At 35.1% G+C, this 10,112-nt stretch overlaps 1 long non-coding RNA gene across 1 annotated transcript; it reads right to left on the bottom strand.

Moving 5' to 3' along the window:
- Positions 1-575: 575 nt before the first annotated feature.
- LOC105376636 (uncharacterized) lies at positions 576-8,233 on the bottom strand. Its single transcript, XR_931210.3, has 3 exons — positions 7,607-8,233; positions 6,547-6,578; positions 576-1,253 (listed from the first exon to the last, which is right to left on the bottom strand). It is a non-coding gene; the product is annotated as an uncharacterized LOC105376636 (long non-coding RNA).
- Between the last annotated feature and the right edge of the window lie 1,879 nt (positions 8,234-10,112).

The raw sequence follows: 10,112 nt of genomic DNA, 5'->3' as shown, positions 1-10,112 counted from the left end.
ATGTTACAAATTTTAAAATTTCACTTAGAAGTGTGAAATAAAGTGCCCAAGACATTGAAATGCATGCAATGAAGAAAGAGGGAAAAACTTAAAAATAATCCTATTTTTCTCATATTTTTGAGAATTTGCCCCTTTTAAAGAAAAACATTTTACATTTGATTTAACTCAGCTGCTAATATTGTTCAGTTTGTTAGATATATGTTATTGGTTTGGGTCAGTTACAATTAATTTACCATTCTATGAACAATGAGTTTACATGTCACTATATTCTTATTTTTTAATTCTGAATATTAAAGTTTAAAAGTTTTAATTGTCAAGAGTTAATTTCAAAAGCACCTTTCAATTAGGTAGGAAACACAAGATGCATTTTATACTTTCCTTATGTAGAAAGTTTGGAACAACAAAGGCATTCCATTATTTTCCTGGCATTAAGTAACTTTAAGTGAAGCCAGGGTCTTGTATTAAATTTTTTTGGTCTTGTATTAAATTTTTTTTCAAAAAAAAAAAAAAAGGATTGAGGGCTTAGGGTAAGGTTTCCAAAGAACAGTTTCCAGAAAAAAAGTTGAGAAATTTTGTATTGAGAATAAGAAATATTTTATTAGTGTTGGTATAGACTTGCATTCACATTTCCACTTGATTTTACATATTTAAAAATGTGAACACTTCCCTAAATAACAGAGGTCAAATTATAAAGTATATATTCTGCTTAATGTTCACAATCTTGAGAATGCACATTTTATATGGAAATTTGGAGAGTTAGGAGTTTCTAGTCCTGCAGGGAGTTAAGGCAAAGAATATTCAAAGACACAGAAATATTCAAAGGTATAGTAAGATTTTTCCAGATCTTTTTCTTAAGAAAAAAATTTCAGTATTGCACCTGATGTCTTAGTGTTAGCTGTCAGTCATCTTGACAAGTGGAGATATTTAAGGTCAAATATTGAAAATGGAATGTGGGAGAGGGTGGATAACTTATGTCTTGGATGAAAGTGGAAAAAAATAAATGGAAAAATGTGAGTATGCTTCCATTAGAAAAAAATAGATGAAAGCATTTCCATGAACAGGTTAGTATAATAATAATCATTGGAGAGCTGCAAGTAGATAATGAGAAGGATGTGGAGAAAATGAGAACATCTTCATTTTTGGAGAAATGTTGGTGGACAAATTAGAAAAAAATATAGACCTAAATTGGGGCTCTGGCATTTGCAGTTTTCTTCCTTTGGGAAGAATTCAGGTTCATATCAGCTTTTGTATTACTGTAAAAGAAAATAATAAATCAGTTAGCACCGCAGATATTGGTTCAGAAGTTTCTAGACTTACTGGGTATACAGATTGCCCTCTCATTCAGGGGTTGTTAAATTTACCTGGTAATTTACATGAAAAAATATTGTAGCACCTCTCAAACTTATTTTATTTCAATAGTTTTTGGGGAACAGGAAGTTTTTGGTTACATGAATACGTTCTTTATGGTGATTCCTGAATTTGGTGCACCCATCACCTGAGCAGTGTTCACTGTAACCAATGTGTAGCCTTTTATCCCTAACCCCACTCCTACCCTTCCTCCTGGTTCCCCAAAGTCCATTATGTCATTCTTATGCCTTTCCATCCTTATAGCTCCCACTTATAAATGAGAATATGCAATGTTTGATTTTCCATTCCTGAGTTACTTAGAATACTGGTCTCCAACTCCATCCAGGTTGCTTCAAATGCCATTATTTCAATCCTTTTTATGGCTGAGTAGTATTCCATGGTGGATATATATACACACCCACACACACACACACACATATATATAGACACACATATATATGATATATATCATATATATATATCACATTTTCTTTATCCGCCCGTTTGTCAATGGGCATTTACGCTAGTTCCATATTTTTGCAATTGTGAATTGTGCTGCTATAAATACGCATGTGGAAGTGTCCTTTTTATATAATGACTTATTTTCCTTTCCTTTGGGTAGGTACCCAGTATTTGGATTGCTTGATTGAGTATTTGGATTGCTTGATTGAATAGTAGTTCTACTTTTAGTTCTTTAAGGAATCTCCATACTGTTTTCCATAGTGGTTGTGCTAGTTTACATTGCCAACAGTAGTAAAAAAGTGTTCCCTTTTCACCACACCCACACTAACATCTTTTTTTTTTTTGATATTTTAATCATAGCCATTCTTAGAGGAGAAGGTGGTATCTCATTGAGGTTTTAATTTGCATTTCCCCAGTCATTAGTGATTTTGATCATTTATTCATATGCTTGTTGGGCATTTGTATATCTTCTTTCAAGGACTGTCTACTCACGTCCTTTGCTCATTTTTATATGGGGTTATTGTTTTCTTCTTGCTTATTTGTTTGAGTTGCTTGAAGATTCTGATATTAGTCTTTTGTCAGATGCTTAGTTTGTGACTATTTTCTCTCACTCTGTGGGTTGTCTGTTTACTCTGCTATTATTATTATTTTTCCTATGCAGAAGCTTTTTTTTGCTTCCCTTTTAAAACATAAATTCCAATTTCATATCATCTCCCTCAAGTACAAAGTTCCACAGATCTTGAGGGCTTAGGCCAATGCCACCAGTCTCTTTGCTAAAGCGTAGCAAGAGTGACGTTTGCTCCATTTCCCCCACCAGTCTCTTTGCTAAAGCATAGCAAGAGTGACCTTTGCTCCATTTCCCAATAAGTTATTCATCTCCATCTGAGTCTACCTCAGCCTGGACTTCATTGTTCATATTAATTATTATCAGTATTTTGGTCAAAACCATTCAAAAAGTCTATAGGAATTTCCAAACTTTCTTACATCTTCCTGTCTTCTTCTGAGCCCTCCAAACTGTTCCAACCTCTACCTGTTACCTAGTTCCGAAGTTGCATCCACATTTTTAGATTGTCTTTATAGCAGTGCCCCACTCTCTACAGCACAACTTTCTTGTATTAGTTTCGTTTCCTCACTGCTATAAAAAAATACCCTAGACTGGGTAATTTATAGAGGAAAGATGTTTAATTGGCTCACAGTTCCACATAAATGAGGAAGCCTCAGGAAACTTACAATCATGGCAGAAGGCTAAGGGGAAACAAGGTATATCTTTCTTACATGGTGGCAGGCATGATTCAGAGATTGAGAAAGAGTGAGAGAGAGAGAGCAAGAAAGCAGGGAAAACTGCCACTTATAAAACCATCAGATCTCATAAGACCTCATTCACAATCATGAGAACAGTATGGGGGAAACTGCTTCCATGATCCAATCACCTCCCACCAGGTTCCTCCCTCAATACATGGGGATTATAGTTTGAGATGAGATTTGGGTGGGGACACAGAGCCAAACCCTGTCAGATGGCTTTTATTTCCTTGAGGCATATCCCTTCTATGCCAATCTTGCTGAGGGTTCTTTTTTTTTTTAATCATAAAAGGATGCTGGATTTTGTCAAATGCTTTTTCTGTGTCTATTGAGATGATCATATGGTTTTTGTCTAACTTATTTTTAATCATAGGCCTTTACTCAATAAGATTATGTCACGATTAGCTCAGACACTATGATAGTGAATTAAAGTAGACAGTCTCAAAGCACATGGCGAATGATTTAACTAGTCTGGGAAGTGAGAACATGGCAGAAGTCACAGTTAAGCAGAGCCTTGAGGAATGATGTGCTACCAAGTAAAACTGTGAGTGTATTTTAGAGGAGGGTAAATAGTGCTCCACACAGAGGCAAAAGCACATGAAAAGGCTGACTAGGTGTATCAGCATATTAGTGCATTAGAAAAAGAGTGATACATTTGGGAGAAACTGAAGGAAACCCAGTGGTGCTGGGAAGCAGAAAGCAGGTGGCAGCACCATTTGAAGTAAATGCAGAGAATCAGAAACTAAAGAGTCTTATATTTTTTCTAAAAAAAGGCTTTATTCTGAATACAATAGAGAGCCATTGGAGTAAACAGATGATAATATCTGTGTTTTTGAATGTTTACTGGCTGCAATAAGAAAAGTGGGTTGGAAGGTGATTCATGCAAAGCTATTGAGTATTCTAGATGAGAGATGATGGTGGTATGGCCTGCAATGGGGAAAGTTGGATGAACAAAATTTAGTACATTCAAGAGGGACTTGGTAAAGTCTTAACACTGTATTACATAACTTGAGTGAGAAAGTGGTTGAATAGCTCATGGCTTTCTGGTTTGTGTATCTGAATATATAACTCAACCATACAAGAGATGCTGACATTGGAATAATATCACATTTGATATGTAAGCCTATTGGTTAAGTTTGAGGATAATGACATCAACATATCTTTGAAATATCTAAGTAGAGATGAAAAAATAAGTGGAATAGAGGAGAGGTTTTGTTTACCATATACTATAAAATGAATGATATTTAAAGCCAACAATGTATGACATTGCTCACAGTGTGAGAAGAGAGAGCCTAGGCCTGAGCTTTGAGGAATTTTAACCAAAAAAAATAGGAGAGAGGAAAAAATCCGGTATCGGTCATTGATTGATTGGTTGCAAACTATGAGTCTTTCTAAAATAGTTAACAACAATCTTGAATGCTACTGAGAACTCAAAAAGCTAAGGATTGAAAAATGTTTAACTGAATTTAGAGAGGACTCTTTGTATAGATTAAGTGAGTCCAGAGAGCTTGGTCTTCTCCCCAAGATGGAGACGAGATAACAAAGACAGTGCAGATAATGTTTCACAGAGTTTAGCTAGAAATGGAGAGAGAAGTATAGTAGTGATTGAGCAGAAAGTGGGGCGAAGGGATCCTTTATGAGAAAGGATAAACAATGAGAGAGGTTAAATATGTAAAGAAGCATGAATAATCAATGCTGTAAAGGTCATGAAGAGGTAGAGAATGGAATCCAAGCAACAGACATGGACCTTAGATAGGAAAAGATAACCTGCTGAAATAAACTAGGAAATTGGAGAAGTTAAGATTGTTAAAGGAGTTGTAAAATTCTGAAATACTTGTGGAATGTGACAGAGCAAACAGATCAGAGAAACACAGATCAATTTTTGGGTCATGTTGAGATTGCATTTGTGCTTGGTAATCATAAATTTAAAGTGGAACCAATCTGCACTTTTGTGTGACCTTTTCCAATAGGGCACAGTTATCTTAGTTCTGAATGTAATAGATGGGAAATGCAATAGATAGATTTATCTAGTTTGAGAGTTTTGCTAGATATGAAAAATAAAAAGAGAAGCAGATGTGATAAACTATGCTACTGACAAGTATAAAATTGAAATTATGGACCGTGGACTTTCTTTTGAATAAGGAGTAAAATAATGTTATCTCAAATAAGTGCAGCTGTTTCTACCTTTGTGCAAGTAAGGTTTGCAAAGATATAAAAACTATGGTCAAATAAGTACAAAATCTCCCAACAAAAAGAGAAGTAAAGAATACCGAGACTGCATCTACCATTGTGTTTACCTGAAAGATCTACACTGAGCTAGCTTGAGGTTGCAGTGGGTAAGTAAGTAGGCTTACTTTTTCTGTTACTCTACTTATTTACTCTGTCTTCATTTTTGCAGTTGGTTGTTTATAAGAGCTCACAGAGCCCTCAATTTGTCTGAGTTATTTCTGTCAGACACTCGTAGCAACACCTTTATAAGCATTAAACTTAAAAATAATAAAACCATGGAAATTATATGTTTTAATCCTCTCATTTTAAAGATGATGTATTGAAACCCAAAGAGGTGATGTATCAAATAAGAACATAGAATGATTAAGAAAGCTATAACTTAAGCTCAAATACCTTGAACCTTAACATGGGCAATCATTCATAGCCTTAATTGTCACTGACATAATGTGTTGCAGATTCATATGTTGGTATTGTAGAAGATGAGCCAGACAAAGCATATCTAAATAAATTAATATTTAATATTACTTTAGGGGCTGTTACACCTTGAGGTACAGTGTAGTTGTTTTATAAAATTGTGGCTTTCTAAATATTCTTCAAATTTTTCTACCAAAAAGACTATCCTCTCACTACTTTTAAGAATATTGCTAAATGCTATACAGTTTAACTGTTTGTCCCTTTTGAAATTCATGTTAAAACTTAATCCCCATTTTAATAGTATCAAGAGGGTGGTAAATCTGACTACAGTGTTTAAAGGTGGGAACTTTGGGAGGTAATTGGAATTAAATAAGTTTGTGAGGGTGGGACATTAGTAGCTTTGTAAGAGGAGAATAAGACCCTGAACTATCACACTAAGCCCCCTAACCATGTGATGCCCTATACTGCCTTGAGATTCTGAAGAGATGCCTTACTAGCAAAAGGTCCTTCACCAAGCATAACCCCTGTACCTTGTGTTTTCCAGCCTTCAGAACTGTAAGAAGTAAGTTTCTTCACTTTAAATATTACCCAGTCCTAGGGGTTTAGTTATGGCAACAGAAAACAGCATATGACACTAACAGACAAAATATTTCACATAATTTTAGGGAACCATTTGTGAGATATTAAAAAGTCTTACATAAGGCATTACCAAGAATGATATCCTGAAATTTGGCAAATGAAATACATTAAACAAATATGACCACAGGGCACATTTCAAAATGATAATAAAGTTACCTTGGTACATTCAGATCACATTTTGATCTCATCTGAAAAGATAGAAAGAAGAAGAAATATTAAACAAAAATACACAAAGTTTTATAACCATTATTCCTGGTATTTCATTGCTCTTGAAAGATAGATACTAGTCAAATTTTAGTACTTTCAGTAAATAAGCAAGCAAAGAAACAAATAAATAAAATCTAAAGAAAGAAAGAAATTGTGGATAGTAGATCAATGCTTTGTTCAAACCCATACTTTTTCAAATATACACTATGGTGATGTGTAGGCACAATGACAGTTCCACCAAGTAGGAAAAATGGACCTTGAATTCAGTAAAGAAAAACACTTTTAGCAGAATGCTTATGTTCATTAAGACAAAATTAATAAGTTTTTAGTTTCTATAGGACTTACTTACAAACAAAAGATGGTAAAAAATGGAAATTAATAGGTGTAAAGGTAAACTTGATGGCATTTTTCACCATAAGCAGTTGTGAGTATTGATTCTTAAGAGATGTAAACATTAATTGACAAAATTAAGAGGAATGTCGAGGAAGACAATAAAAAATGCACTTCTCACTCTTACAGAGTATTTTGGAAACTCATTTACTCTTCTTTCTTTCTTCTTATTCTGTATAATTTATTATGTAATTTATTATGTTTTGTTTGAGTTTTGGTCTAACATTTACCTAAATTTGAACTATCTTCTCATTGTAAAGAAAATAGTTCTAAGACTAAAATCTCATAAGCATGAGATTAAAGAGTACCTTCCAAAAGGGTGGAAAAAAGGTGTAAGCAGCAGTGCCTTTTAAAAAAAGATACTTTAAATGGCAGTAAACTCCAACTCTGTCTACTTAATAATTTTTTCTTAGACAAATTCAATATAGTGTTAAAATAGAAAGAAGAGCTAATTTATCCTCAGCTTAATAATATCAGTTGACTTCATTAAAATTTAAAATTGAATATCACATCAGAAAAGTCAGCTACAGTATGGATTTAGAGAAAGGTAACAGTCACAAGATTAAGGTACCCATTGCCTACACACAGCGTGAATCCTATGTGAAGTATGAATACTCACCCACCAATGGTTTCATGTAATGTGCTTGTGTAAATAAAATGACTTCTTCTATGGGAGTGCCATCAGCAAGATTCTAGAGTAAGAAGTCTTGGGCCCAACTCACCAACAACTAGTAACTATCCATAGAATAGAACATCCTTTTAAAAACTCCAACATCTGGAAATAATCCTGAGATACTCATATGGCAAGCAGAATGAAACACAATCTGAATTTCAAAGGGTAGGAGGAATGGTCTCACTCCAAACAAGCAGGCATGGTGCCAGACAGAGAGAGTTTTCCTTAACTCAGTTTTATTTTTTTAGAGAGAAAGAAAAACAAAAACTGAATCCAGCTTCCCTAGCATTCTCAGATAGCCCAGTCAGGACTGACTTCCCAGGGAACAGTGGTAAAATCAACATGGCTTGACTGCCTGGTGAGTCAGGTAGAAACAAAGAGGACTAGCACACAGATCTTCGTGGCACCTCTGCTTTCCTGCCAGCTGCAGAACTTGATCAGAAATAGCTGCCAGCCAATCTCATAATACACCTGCAAAGCTGAGACGGTAGCCTTTAGAAGTAGGATAGGAAGCACAATCTAGCTTAAGCTCCTAGACTGCTTTCCTCCCAACCCAGCCTCAGAACCGCGCCTGCCCCACCCCCTTCCCAGTGATCTCATCCAGGAAGAGAGACTTCTACCCTGTGGATCTCAGATAAGTAAAGGGGCTATACTGACTAATGATCCTGCTTAGGAATTAGGAAGGAAGACTGCCACCTCTGTGCATTTTGGAGAAACAGAGCTGCTAGTACTGCTTCAACCAGGAAATCAAGCAGCCACCTGACTCAGCCAAAGGCCAACCCCACAGCTCAACCCAGACAGGGAAGCAATCTCTAATTTCATACTTCTAAAGGAGCATAGCCTCAGGTCATTTCCCTGCCTAACCTCAGAGCCCAACCTGCAGCCCTTGCCAAACTGCAGATAACAAAGAGTGAGATTATCCAGCCAGGGAATAAATCCTGTGACTGGCCGACCAGAAGCCTATGCAGTACTGAGCCAGCAGCTCCACCTGAAAGCAGAGCCAGCCAGTGGTCTCACCAGTCAACAGACCTCAGCTAGTAGCCCCTGACAACATGAAAGCAACGGCAGCACCCCAGCTCACTAGATAACTCACAATAAGCTCTGCCTCCATAATGTCATCATTAGCTGGCCTTACATAATCATAGGCTAGATAAATAATGAAGCTCTACACCTGCCAAAGAATATCTGTTAAGGGCAGAAGAAGGCGTTGTCTCCTCAAGTGCATAGACAACAACATAAGGACATAGGATTGTAAAGAATCAGGAAGTCATGACGCCCCCAAAGAAAACTAATAAATCTACAATAACAGACCCTCCAACATGAAGATCTATGAAATGGCTGACAAAGAATTCAGAATAATATTCATTAAAAAGTTAGGTAAAGTAAAAAAAAAACCTATAGAAAATGTAATGAGATTTGAAAAACAATAAACACAAACATCAGATGAACAAAAAAACAGACAAAAGAACCAGAGAGAAATCATAGAGACAAATAATACAAAGGCTGAAATGAAAAACTTAATAGAAAGCTTCAACAGCAGACTCACACAGAAGAAAAAGAATCAATGAGTTAAAAAAAAAAACATTTGAAATTATCCAGTCAGAAGAGCAAAAAGATAATAAAGGAAGTCTAATGAATTATGAGACACCATCAAGAGACAGAATATTTATCAAATAGGATTTGCAGAAGAAATAGTATAAAAATCAGATCTGTTCATCAGAAAAAAAAGAGTGATAAAGATTTTTCAAGAAAAACAAAAGCTAAGGGAATTTATTAGCACCAGACCTATCTTCCAAGAAATGCTAAAGGGAGTTTCTCAAGCTTAAAGAAAAGGACATTAGTAACACAAAAACATCTGAAAGTTAAAAACAAAACAACAACTCACTGGTAGCAGTAAGCACACAGTCAAATTCAGAATATCCTAACAGTGTTATAGTAGTGTGTAAATCACATATATCTTTAATATAAAGGTTAAAAGGCAAAATTATTAAAATAATAATATTTACATAAATTCCTAAGGGATATGCAATATAAAAATGTATATTTTGACATCAAAAACTCACTCAGAATGTACAGATGAGAACTGGGGTTAATATGTAGAGACTTTTCTAAAATATTGCAATTAAAGTTAAGTTGTATCAGCTTAAAATAATCTCTTATGTGTAATGTTTTTTGTAAGCCTCATGGTAATCACAAAGCTAAAATCTATAGTAGATACATTACATTAAAGATAAAAAAGCAAAGAATCAAAACTTACTGTTAAGGGAAGTCACTTAGAAAGTAAAATAGGAAGAAACAAACTACAAAACAACTAGAAAATAATTAACAAACTGGTGATCATAAAGTTTACCTATCAATAGTCACCTTGAATACTATGGACCTCAAATATGTCTGGCAGTAGACTTTTCAGTGGAAACCTTACAGGCTAGGAGAAATAGGCATGACATATTTA

This window comes from Homo sapiens, chromosome 11 (genome assembly GCF_000001405.40).
Source record: "Homo sapiens chromosome 11, GRCh38.p14 Primary Assembly".
Lineage (NCBI taxonomy): Eukaryota > Metazoa > Chordata > Mammalia > Primates > Hominidae > Homo > Homo sapiens.
This window is presented reverse-complemented; position numbering and strand designations above follow the sequence as displayed.